The sequence below is a fragment of the Homo sapiens genome, chromosome 3 (genome assembly GCF_000001405.40).
Source record: "Homo sapiens chromosome 3, GRCh38.p14 Primary Assembly".
Classification (NCBI taxonomy): domain Eukaryota; kingdom Metazoa; phylum Chordata; class Mammalia; order Primates; family Hominidae; genus Homo; species Homo sapiens.
In genome coordinates, this window is record NC_000003.12 from 107,992,322 (window position 1) to 108,005,187 (window position 12,866).

The 12,866-nt window shown below is 43.8% G+C and overlaps 5 annotated features.

Moving 5' to 3' along the window:
* Positions 7,121-7,415: an enhancer, noted in NCBI's record as "tiled region #1116; HepG2 Activating non-DNase unmatched - State 24:Quies". NCBI's record gives its function as "activates a minimal TATA promoter and a strong SV40 promoter by Sharpr-MPRA in HepG2 cells {active_cell/tissue: HepG2}" and the evidence as "EXISTENCE:reporter gene assay evidence [ECO:0000049][PMID:27701403]".
* Positions 7,121-7,415: a silencer, noted in NCBI's record as "tiled region #1116; K562 Repressive non-DNase unmatched - State 24:Quies". NCBI's record gives its function as "represses a minimal TATA promoter and a strong SV40 promoter by Sharpr-MPRA in K562 cells {active_cell/tissue: K562}" and the evidence as "EXISTENCE:reporter gene assay evidence [ECO:0000049][PMID:27701403]".
* Positions 7,121-8,357: a biological region, named in NCBI's record as "Sharpr-MPRA regulatory region 1116".
* Positions 7,282-8,057: an enhancer, noted in NCBI's record as "NANOG-H3K27ac-H3K4me1 hESC enhancer chr3:107718450-107719225 (GRCh37/hg19 assembly coordinates)". NCBI's record gives its function as "activates a minimal SCP1, AML or CMV promoter by ChIP-STARR-seq in primed H9 embryonic stem cells {active_cell/tissue: H9 hESC(primed)}" and the evidence as "EXISTENCE:reporter gene assay evidence [ECO:0000049][PMID:30033119]".
* Positions 11,755-11,916: a silencer, noted in NCBI's record as "fragment chr3:107722923-107723084 (GRCh37/hg19 assembly coordinates)". NCBI's record gives its function as "represses an EF-1alpha promoter that drives an FKBP-Casp9 reporter gene in an ReSE screen in K562 erythroleukemia cells {active_cell/tissue: K562}" and the evidence as "EXISTENCE:reporter gene assay evidence [ECO:0000049][PMID:32094911]".

The following is a 12,866-nucleotide window of genomic DNA, read 5'->3' on the forward strand; positions in this document are numbered from 1 at the left end:
GTAACATCAACGCCATGCATCCTGAGGGTCACTGTGCTCAGTGGCTGCTAGGACCAGAGCAGAGACTATGTGTGCTTCAAGTCCAGGCAAAAACGTCCTCTGAGACCACCCTCCTACTCCTCTCCTCCTGACATGATAGCTGCTCTCACTTTGCAACTTAATTCTCACTCAAGGGGTAAACAAATTTTTAAAAATTCTAATAGAGTGGGCCAGGCACGGTGGCTCACGCCTATAATTCCAGCACTTTCGGAGGCTGAGGCAGGCGGATCACGAGGTCAAGTGATCAAGACCATCCTGGCCAACATGGTGAATCCCGTCTCCACTAAAAATCCAAAAAATTAGCCAGGCGTGGTGGCACGCACCTGTAGTCCCAGCTACTCGGGAGGCTGAGGCAGAAGAATTGCTTGAACCTGGGAGGTAAAGGTTGCAGTGAGCCGAGATCGTGCCACTGCACTGCAGCCTGGTGACAGAGCGAGACTCCATAAAAAAATAAAATAAAATAAAAAATTGAATAGAGTTAAACTTAAAAAAAAGTTGAAAAACTCTCATCTCAATGTTTTAACCCTTTGAAGTCTCCCACCTTTGATGTGGATCTCCACTGTTGTTTTTGTCCCAAATTTAGCATATAGCACTTGTCACCCTGGCCATACTTGGGGCTGTCCCAGCTGGGCATGGGCTGCCAATCCTATTCCAAGGTCTGATGGGATGACAGGTTCTCCGGAAGCCACTGTTTAATGGGAGACCTACACAGCCCCTGCAGCAGGCGTGGTTCCCACCAGGCATTTCTGGGAGTTTCCAGCAACTGTCCTGCATTTCCTCACAAAGGAACTCTGTCCAACCTGTTTTTCTTCTCCCCAGCCCTGTCCTTCTCTGTGCAAACCCGGAAGCCCCCAATAGGGTGGCAGGAGAGGATGAGGTACAGGCACTGGGACTCCCACGCAGTGCCATGGCTAGGTTCTGCTCAGGGCGGGGGCCCTATAGAGATTTTAAAGAACACTGCTCTCTTTCAGGTGTTATTCACATCATTCTTCCTCCCTGGGACCCAGACAAAAGTCAGTGGAGCTCTGGGCTGGGGACAAACCCAGGGGCCAGGAGCTGCCTGTGCCGACTCAGCAAGTTCCCCACCCCTTCTGTTACTAATGACTAAGTAGTCATCAGTCTGGTGACTCTTACTCTCTTTTCCCTTGGGGAAAGTTCTCTTCTGGGAAACGCTTCAGTTCCTCAGACAGACTCCTAGGGCCCCACGCCCCAGCCTTTGCCCCCCTCACCCTGTGCCTTGGGCGCACCAATTTGCCCAGGCTCATACTGATTTCAGCTTAGATGTGCCCAGGGCCAGACCCCAGGGACACTTTTTTTTTTTTAATACTTTAAGTTCTGGGGTACATGTGCAGAATGCGCAGGTTTGTTACGTAGGTATACACATGCCATGGCACACTTTTGAAATTGCCCTGTGACTGAGAAAGACCCTGCCTGCATATTGGTTCACTGAAGCTGTATCTTCATGACTCCCAGAAAACTAATAGCTGAGAAGTTTACTGAAAGAAGAAATTAGATAAAACTCAGCACATCAGCTGCATTCTTCCAGTTGCTCATGATGAAAAACCTTGGCATTACCCTTCACTCCTCTCCCACCCCACATTCCACGGGCCAGCAAAACCTCAGAGTTGGTCCTTCAAATCACATCCAGAGTCTGACCATTTCTCACCACCTCCACTGCTTCCAACTTGGTCCAAAACACTATCTTCTCTTTCAACAGCTTCCAACATCTCCCTTCTTGCTCCACATTTGCTGCTCTGTGGTCTAATCAATGCAGTAAATTGATGCTGCCAAAATTAAATCAGATCATGCCACTCCTCTGTTTAAAACCCTCCCATCAATGGCTTTGCAACTTGGTGGAGTAAAGTCAAGTCTTTACAATGAACAATTGGCTACAAGGCCCTGTAAGATCTGGCCCTCTGGAACCTCTCTGAACTCCTCTTCTGCTACTCTTCTCTAGCTCATTACATTTCAACCACAGGGCCTCTGCACTGTTTGCTCTGCCTGCAATGATCCTCCCCAAAGTACAGACATGACTCGCTGCCTACTGGGCTTTATTCAAATAATTGCTCCATTGCATTGCATTGAATTCTAAATCCAGGTATTTGACTTTAAGCTTTTGTTTCTCATTAATCAATTAAACCTGCGTAAAAGACAGAGGAAAACTGCCCATAAATCTGCACAGGTAACTCCTCTCCTCCCCCACACTCCTTTTTAAAGATGTTGTATTTGCCCACATGTGGTTTATATATTATGGCACATAGAAGAAATAGGTCCACTTGATAATAAGAATATCTCAAGGGAATATCTAGATGAACCCTGGGCAAGTTCTGACAACCATTTATGACCAACAAGAACTAACTGAAGTGTGAATTTATTTTGAAAAATGGCTATTAGCAATGAAAATGTCAAGGAAATTCTGACTTTCTATAACTGGACTAGATGGATTCACCTTTTTACAAAGCTTCAGCATGCAAAACAGGTTCTGATCTTTCACAAGGATTAAAAACCTATTCAAGGCTATGGCTGGAAGCCCATGGCAGCAGTAGGAATTTAATGGTTTTTAAATTATGGTTTTGGATACCTCTAAATTATTCTTAGAACCTGGGTAAGGCCAGCCTGACCACTTGAATGTATTCATTTTCAAGTTAGAATATTTCACAGATTGGTTGCAACATGGAGATACAAAATTCATACACATATGCGAGGTAAAGAATTCTGTGCCATCTCAATTTGTAATTGTCTATATTATATATGGTTAATCTATGATTAAGCAAGAAGAAATTTAGAAAATGCTGGCTCAATGCCAGCTTGAATTATAGACTCCAAGTTAAGACAGAGTTTAAAACTCAAAGTGTCTTGGACCCATCGTTCCACTCATTAGTTGAGTATTTCTGCATATTTCCTCAAAATCTATACTCTAAGTCTTCAGAATCTGGCACCAGAATTTGAATCTATGATGGTTTCCTTTTATGTACCAGCTGAAATTCTTAAAACTAACAGTCTCAATTATAACCTGAGGCAATGAATAAACACTTGACTTCATTTATATTTACATAATGGTACCCTATAGTTAACCATGTAATTAATCAGTCTTACAGAACAGTACATTCAAAAGGAAGAAAATGGAACAGTTTTCCACATTTGTTTCATACCCTACCTACCACACAGACAATGTCCTCCTTTGATACAGCAGTCATGCTGCCAACAGAGAGTAGTTTGAGGAGGAAGGCATGCCGTCCTCTTTAGGATAAACTATGTCGAATGAAATGACCAGCTGCTTGCCTCTGGCTGGGTTGAAGAGAGGTGAAGTTTAAATTGTAGTTATTTTTCTAGCTTCATCTATCTCTCACCTCTTCTTTTTGTTCTTTATTTTTACCTTTCCCCTCTTCCAAATGGGCATAAAAACTGGAAAGGCTTGAAATTAGCTGGAAAATCAAAAGTCTTGAAAAGCTGAAACATCAAAAGAAAGGAGATTCTACATGTCAGTACTGCCTTTGAGGTTATTTCTAAATTATCTCTATGTCCATCTACTTGCTTTTCCTTCAAATTCAATTAGTACCATCATTTCTTTCACCTACCATGTGCTAGGCCTAATGCCAGTCACTGGAGATGTTCCAAAAACTGAGACAGGACCAAGAGACGCATCATGATACAGGGACACACATGTGAGCAATCATGACATCATGGTAAATCACCGAAGACACGCAAAACTCAAAATCAGTCAAATTCTCATAGTTTTAAAAACATTATATAGCAAGAGGTAAAGTGGGCATTTCAACCCACTACTGAGAATTAAACATCCTCAACGGTTCCAGAAGATTTCCTGTGCATGTGTATAAATAAAGCCATGTGTTCATGTGTTGGGGGTCCCCAAGATCACTGCCAGGTTCTCTGATTTGCTAGAAGGACTCAAAGACTCAGCATATAGTTTTACTCCTGGTAAGATTTATTACAGTGAAAGGATATAGAGTGAGATCAACAAAGGGAAAAAGTGCGTGGGGCAAAGGCTGGGAGAAACCAGGCACAAGCTTCCAAGGGTCCTTGCCCAGTGGATTCGCATGGAACATGTTTAATTCCCCAGGCAAGGAGTTGTGACATGTGTGAAATGTCTACTAGGGAAGCTCCTTAGAAACTCAATGTTCAGCATTTTACTGGGGGCTGGTCACACAGGCCGCCTCTAACAGGTATATATCAAAATTTCAGACTGTGCCACAGGAAAGCAGATGTTCAGCACAAACCACATGGTTCCTATAAACAGTTTGGGTGCAGTGAGCCGCTCTTACCAGTTGGTAATGGCAAGAACTCTCCTAACTTCCAAGTTCCCAGATGCCAGCCAAGAACCTTTCAGAGGATAGCAGTCAGGCCTCTTGTGTTAAATCTTTCTTGCACAATTTATCTGTACATTTTATACGAAATGCCATTTTGCTCTGTCTGCGAATTTTCTTTTAAAGATGACACAGATATCTTTCCATGTTAGTTCATATAGACCTACCTAATTCTTTGTCATAGTTACATAATATTCCATTCATAGGCAATTTAACCATTCTTTCATAGGTAGATATTTGGTTTGTTTCCAATTCTTAAGCTACAAATTATGATGCAATGAGCATCATTAGACATATATTCTTCATGTAGTCATGCTTGTTGTTTCTGTTACATAGGCTTCTAGAAGTGATATTCCTGATGTCATTCAATTTGTAAAGGAAGGCCACCATATTGAAATTTTAGCATTGAAATTTTAGGCCAGGCACAGTGGCTCATGCCTATAATTCCAGAACTTTGGGCAGCCAAGGTGGGTGGATTATTTGAAGTCAGGAGTTTGAGACCAGCCTGGCCAACATGGTGAAACCCTGTCTTTACTAAAAATACAAAAATCAGATGGGCATGGTGGTGTGCACCTACAATCCCAGCTACTCGGGAGGCTGAGGCAGGAGAATCACTTGAGCTGAGGAAGTGGAGGTTGCCATGAGCCGAGATTGTGCCACTGCACTCCAGTCTGGGCGATAGAGTGAGATCCTGTCTTAAAATAAAATAAAAATAAAAAAACAAAAATAGAAATTTTAGCATATGTATTAGATATAGAGAGAATGTCAGAAAAGAAGACAGTGAGGAGGCCATTGAAATAATTCGGTGACAGTTGATCAGGGCCAACAGAAAGCTGTGGCAAGGAGCATGGTGAGGAGCAGAAACAGTGTAGACTTAGAAGGCAATATAACAGCCCCTGCTAATGGATGGGAAGAGGAGAGTGAACAAGGATGAATTAAGGGTGACTCCTACTTATATCGTCTGGTGGACAGCAGCTAGGTGGAATGCAAGGAGAGCAATTATGAAGCAATTGTAATAATTTAGAGAAGAAATGGCAGGGGCTAAGATTAATTCCTCTTTGCTCACTCTCCTCTTCCTGTCCATCATCAGGGGTTGTTCTATTGCCTTCTAACTAAGTCTACAGCATTTCTGCTTCTCCCCATGGTCCTTGCCACAGCTTAGTTCAGGCTCTGATCAACTGTCACCCAGATTATTTCAATTGTTCATTCATTCACCCATCCATTCATAATATGGAACATCTGTTATGTGTCAGCCACTCAGTTGCTTATCATTGGTGCAATTTTTTTTTCTTTTTTCTATTCTTCTTGCCAAAAACATAGAAATTGATGCAATATAGATTCCAAATAACTTCCAACTAATTTGGCCATTAATTAACTTCACTGCTATTCAGTTGTGAATGGCACAAAGTTTAATAAAAGCTGCAGTGAGTGATGGTGCATTAGGTCCCAGATGCTTGAATAATTTGCACACACTTTGGAGTAAAAATATGAGAAGGGAGAGAAAAGAAATCATGAAAGCAAATAAAATCTCTTTTGTGTCTAGGTTTGAAGACAGACTCCCTCCCACACACGCATTTCAAGCAAATGCCCTTAGCAAACGTGAGCAGGTGATCCTCCTCCTTACTTCCACCAAAGAGTCTTCTCTCCTGCACAGTTCCAAGTACCACTTGTGTGGGCCTTCAGTGTGATGTGAAAGAGAGAAGCCAGAAAGCAGTTCTCTTTATTTTTATTTTTTTTAACTGACTTGCTGTGCCCATCACATTTGCCCTCCTTTTTATCCCGTGAGCCTGAACTGCAACTTTCCATCATTTGAAGCCCAGAGGCATAAAATTGCAATTTGAATGATAAGGAGAGTTTTATTTTTATAGGGTTTTATGTCGTGTTTAATAGAAATTCATGTGCTTTAATGCATTTTATTTCACTGCTTGTTTGAGTTTATATTGGAATCTGCCTTCTGATAAGTTTATTTGACTAGGCAGAGAAGTCCCAATCTGCATTCGTTCCTACCCAATTTATGTAAGGAATGTGATCTCACACATTCTTTACAAATCTTTTTTTCATAATTTCTGAGGCCCCAATGGAATCACTTTTTTCCCTTTCTTACAGACTTAAATTTCTTTATTCTTTTTTTAATTCATGGACAAAGTCAAGTTACATTCTCCCAAGAAGATATATAAATGGCCAATAAGCACATAAAAAGATGTTCAACGTCACTAATCATTAGGGAAATGCAAATCAAAACTACAATGAGATACAACTTCACACCCATTAGAATGGCTATTATTTAAAAAGCAGAAAACAACACGTGTTGGTGAGGATGTGGAGAAATTGGAATCCTTGTGCATTGCTGGCGGGAATGTAAAATAGCACAGGTGCTATGGAAAGCAGTATGATAGTTCCTCAACAATTAAACCTAGAATTACCATGTGATTCAGCAATTCCACTTTCATGTAGAATTTTTCTACCCAAAAGAATTGAAATCAGAGACTTGAAAATATAATTGTACATTAATGATCATAGTGTTACCAAACAGAATCTGGATCTGCCTGCCTGGTGCAGTAGAGCCAAACATCCACATGGAGGTTTGCAGAGAGAGGAAGGAGGGCATTCATTTGCAGGGCACCATGCAGAGAGAATTGGGAATGTTTAAGACCTGACCTCCCTCATAGCTTACAAGCAAGGGTTTTTAAAGACAGGGCTACATTTCAGAAAAGCAAAAGTCACAGGCAGAATTGTAAATCAAATACACAATGGTTCTGTGTTGGTTTGGCCCAGGAAAGCAGGCTATCTTGATGTGAGGGCTTACAGGTCATAGGTAGATTCAGAGATTATTTGAATTTCAATTGGTTAAGCAAATAAAGCCTTGTCTAAAACTTTGGGTCAGCAGAAAGGAATGTTGAGGTTTGGCCTGTGGGCATGACTCTCCAGGCGTGTTCTCTCCAAGGAGAAATTTAGAACAAAAAAGTGGCACTCAGAGTTCAGTCCTCAGTGCCCTCTTACCTGAGGTCTATGTGACCGTGCTCAGCATTTTCCATCTGGCGGTCCGGCTTTCTGAAAAACAACTCGGGGACACATGTCAAGATATTAGAGTTGGCTGGGCACGGTGGCTCACGCCTGTAATCCCAGCACTTCGGGAGGCCAAGGCGGGCAGATCACAAGGTCAGGAGATCGAGACCATCCTGGCTAACATGGTGAAACCCCGCCTCTACTAAAAAATACAAAAAATTAGCCGGGCATGGTGGCGGGTGCCTGTAGTCCCAGCTACTCGGGAGGCTGAGGCAGGAGAATGGCGTGACCCGGGAGGCGGAGCTTGCAGTGAGCCGAGATGGCGCCACTGCACTCCAGCCTGGTCGACAGAGCGAGACTCCAACTCAAAAAAAAAAAAAAAAAATATTATAGTTAGTTTCTATAAGGAACCAAACAGCTTGTGGCTCTAACCTTTTTGGGTGGCAACTGTTTTATTATTAACCTTCATGCACATCAAGTTGCTCATTCCCTTCACAAGGCTAGCTAGGTCCCTGGAATTTCTCTTGAAGAAACTCAAGATTTTCCTTTATTTCCATCCTTGGGGTTGAGGAGGCGGTGGCCAGCAGGGCCCAAAGAGAGGTCCCTGCTCCGTCTCAATAGTGGCATTATTCACAATAACCCAAAAGATGGAAGCAATTCAACTGTCCATCGATGAAAGAATAGAGAGACAAAATATGGTATAAATATACAATGGAGTATTATGCAGCCTTAAAAAGGAATGAAATTCTGACACACACTACAATATGGATGAATCTGGAGGACATTACGCTAAGTGAAATAAGCCAGACGCAAAAGGACAAATACTGTATGATTCCACTAATATCATGTTCCTAGACTAATTAAATTCATAGAGACAGACAGTGGAATGGTGGTTGTCAGGGGCTAGGGGGAGGGGAAAATGAGGAGTTACTGTATAAATGATGAAGAATTTCAGTTTGGAAATACGTTAAAGTTTTGGGGATGGATGGTGGTGATGGTTGTACAATATGAATGTGCATAACGCTATTGAACTATATACTTAAAATGGTGAAAATAACAAATTCTATGTTACGTATATTTTACAAAAATTTAAAACATAAAGAAAAGTTAAATTATAGTTAGAGCTGCCTGGGCAGGCCTGCACTTTTCTCTACTGATACTTTTTCCTCAAGCTGAGGGCTTTTCTCTCTTTACTGTTTCGTATTACAGCTTCCTCCTCCTACCCTGTTGCTTTTAGCACCCTGTACCTTCTTCCCCCTTGACACAGAAAACCTTCTCTAAGGACAGACTCTGATACAATCAAATGATCCCCTGTAAGTATCTGAGCAAATATGATAGCTATCCCCGGCACATTTTCATGTTAAGGCTTATCTCTAATTGAGAATGTAAGATTGTATTTTCTGGTGAAGATGACCTTCTAGAGCCCCTAAAATCTCTATGCCATGGCCTCTGTGCTTTGCAGAGGACTGATGTATTGGTTATAGATTCATTCAAGAAAATAAAAGTCTCTCTAGGTATTTCAAGCAAGGAGGGATTGAATATAAGGAGTGAAGCTCCCAAGTTGTTATAAGGAAAGGAGGAACACAAATGGGAGTGAGGGTAGTATTGCTGCCTGGAGATCAGGCCTGCAGTTTACCTGTTTGATCCCTGTGTGAAGTCACTTGCCCCTGAGCTGCAGCCAGAATGAGAGTCCCTCTACCTGCCTCCTGCTCTCATGCCGTAGGCATAATCTAAACTGAAACCCTCTAGCAGAGAAGTCTGAGAAATGTAGTTTGCAGGTTTCTAGCCCTTGTGACTGGAGGAGAATGCAGAAAAATAGGGGTTTATACATGGCAGGTAATTTCCTGTACAAACCAGTGTTGTGTGGCAGTGGAAATGAGCACCTTCTCAGAGATAGTCTGAGCCCTGCATGATGAGTCAGCCTCAGGATCTAGAAGGATCACAGTTCCCAAGGCAGACAGGCTTGTCTTACCAGCCCTATAATCTTGGGCAATAACAGCAATAGCCACTTCTCAAGCCCTGCCAGGGAGCCAAGTGCTCTGTGAAGTGCTGTGAACTTTACGCCAACAAGCTTGTGACATAGGTTTTACAATTTCCATTTTACAGACAAGGGAACTGGAATCAGAGAGAAGAGGTCACATAGCAACTAAGTGGTGGAACTAGGGTTTGAACCAGGGTCTCATCAACTCCTCTGCCATTTAACTCTCTGATCTTCAATTTCCAACTCACAAGGGGTGTGATGAGATCCTGGATATCCATCTACAGTTTTACTGCTTCCTCATCCCTAGGAGTGTTGCACTTAACTCTTTCCACTGGCTTCTGATTTCAGCAAGCACCTCCATCCAGAGCATGCACTGTGTGGTCTCCTTCTCCTCTGTGACTCGGCACTGTCCTCTGCACAGATCAAGCACCAGACAATACCATCACCTTCCTGGTCTGATAAATGGACCCAGTCCTGGACTTAAGAAAAGTCGTAAGATTCAGAGTTGCTTCTGCCACTGGGCAACTTCTTCGCATGACCACCTGTATTAGTTTCCAGTGGCTTCTGTAATAAATTACCATAAACTTAGTGGCTTTAAACAAAATCAGTGTGATTTTCTCCCAGTTCTGGAGGCCAGAAGTCCAGAATCCAGGTGTGAGCACGGCCACATTCCCTCCAGAGGCTCTCGGGGAGAATCCTGCCTTGTCTCTTCCAGCTTCTGGTGACTCCAGCATTCCTTGGAGGTTTTGCCTCCATCTTCACATCGCTGGCTCCTTCTTTGCGTCTGTCTAATCTCCCCCCGCCTTACTCTTCAAAGGCTACCAGTGATGGCTTTTAGACCCTTTCCCCAAATAAGATACCATTCACAGCTTTCAGGGATTAAGAGGTGGTCGTGTCTGTGTGGATCCCATTCAGCCCACGCCACCTTCTTGGGACCTGGAAGAAAAGAAAAGTTTTGTGTTTTCTCCTCCTCCAGGAGCACCTCTTTAGATCTGGGTCTTTCCCCTTCATTCTGTAGCTTCTTTCCTTCAGTATCTTCCGGGCAGTGCCCCTGCAAATATTAGAAACTGAGGCACACACTAAAAAGGTGGTTATTTACCAACGCAGGTGTGTTGTCCTCTTTAGTTGGGCAAAGTTAATGAACTCAGTACTGCATTGTTTCCAATTCAGGCCAGACAACACTTCCAGAAGCTCCCTGATCTTGTGTCAGAAATTCCTACATGGTCCTCATCTCGGAGAAACTACCCAAATTAATCTTTCTTCTTTCTGGCACTCTGCTCTGGACAAAAATACGAGAGAAGCATCTCCAACTAACTTATTTCCCTCTGGCTTCTTCATTCTAGACTCTATTTCACTGAAAAGTGTTTCAGTGTTTTCTCGTCAGTTTCTGAACTGTGTGACCGTCATCCTGCATGGACCCTCATATTCCAGCTTCCTGTTTCCTCCCTCCTGCGTCTCCATCCCCAGCTCCCAGTAGCAGGAAGCATTCACCACATTTTCACTTCTTGTTCTTTTCCTAGGCTGTCATTAATAAAAGTGTGAAACACAAGCTTTGGGCTACTCAGTGATATTTTCTTGGCCCAGGAAGAACAGGGTGATTACTTCGGTTTCTCATGCAGGATTTGAGAGAAGGGGTTTCCACTCTGAAACCTCAGTGGCAAAATGACCGGCAGGTTCATCTCTCTGCTGTCTCTGCCCAGAAAAAGTAGCCAGAACCACGAGGGTCACCTCTCCCTATATGGGGTCAATTCTATAAGAAATGAGATTTGCAGGCCCTCACACAATGTGGCTCCTAATCTGAGGCAGGGTTCCTCTGGGCTCCCTTTACCACTTGGTAGATGTTCCCATTGGCTGTGACCTGGAGGCCAGGCCTTTTGATTCTCAATCTATCCACATGACTTATATAGACACAGCTCCTGTAAACACCACTGAAGGCTGAGTGTGGTGGCTCACACCTGTAATCCCAGCACTCTGGGAGGCTGAGGCAGGCAGATCATTTGAGCTCAGGAGTTCAAGACCAGCCTGGGCAACATGGTGAAACCTCATCCCTACTGAAAATACAAAAATTAGCCAGGCGTGCTGGTGCACACCTGTAGTCCCAGCTACTTGGGAAGCTGAGGTGAGAGACTCACTTGAGCCCAGAGAGGTTGAGGCCCAAAGAGCTGTAATCATGCCACTGCACGTCAGCCTAAGTAACAGAGCAAGAGCCTGTCTCAAAAATAAATAAATTAATTAATTAATTAAATTATTTTTTTAAAACACCGTTGAATAATAGCTTCCATTTGCAGGCATTTTCACATATATTTTTATTTGATCCTGGAAACAAACCAGTGAAGCAGTTGGCTGGATCTCACTGATACAAGAGCGGGGCGGTCAGGGAAGAGAAAGGCGGGTCCCTGGCTAGGGCTCCACCCTTGGGCCTGTGCCCGTGGACCTAGGTGAAGACAGGTACTCCTGCTTTCGTGCCCAAATGTTGCATTTTCCAAGACCACCCTGGCCCGCTACATCCCCATCACGTGCCTATAAAAACCCTGAGACCCCAGCGGGCAGACACACAAGCAGCTGGATGTGGAGAGAAACAAACGCAGCGGCAGAAGAAGGCACAAGTGGCTGGACGTCAAGAGGGGCGCGGCTGCGTAAGAGCACACAGACAGACACACACAGATGCAGGCAGGCCGGCAGGCCATCCACCGGCAGAATGAGCCAGAATTTGGACGGTGCGGTCAGAGAAGACCCCAGGCCGCTGAGCAGCGTGACTCCAGGGGAAAAACCACCTTTTTACTCCATCTCCTTTCTGGCTCCCGCATCTGCTGAGAGCTACTTCCACTCAGTAAAACCTTGCAGTCATTCTCCAAGCCCACGTGTGAGCCGATTCTTCCCATACACCAGGGCAAGAAAGCCTGGGATACAGAAAGCCTTCTGTCCTTGTGATAAGGCAGGGGGTCTAATTGAGTTGATAAACATAAGCGGCCTACGGACGGCTATGCTAAAAGAGCACCCTGTAACACATGCCCACTGGGGCCTCAGGAGCTGTGAGCATTGAGCCCCAGACCCTGCCGTGGGATCGGAGCCCCACAACTTGCCCGACTGTCTTCTTCCCCTAGGGGTTTTGAGCAGCGGGGCACCAAAGAAGCAACCGCACCCCCATCACATGCCCTGCGAGGGGGATAAGGGAACTCTTCCCATTTCATTACTAACCTCATTTTACAGATTAAGAAACTGTGGTTATATGATTTGTACCACAAATCACAAGTCACCAGCCTGTGTGTGGCAGAGCTGAGGCCCCAGTGCAGGAATTCCGGTTACACAGGCAGCTTGCTTTCTGCTCCTGGACTTGTCTTCTTGTTCCCTTTTTTTCTTTCTCTTTTCATTTTCTCTTTGCCCCCCAGACTCAGTTTCCTACCATGCAATCTTCCTCTCTATTCTAATTCTTTCTGCTATCATCCTATACTGGCTTCATTACTTACTAACTGTGTGACCTTGGGCACATTTCTTTTTTTCTTTCTTTCTTTTTT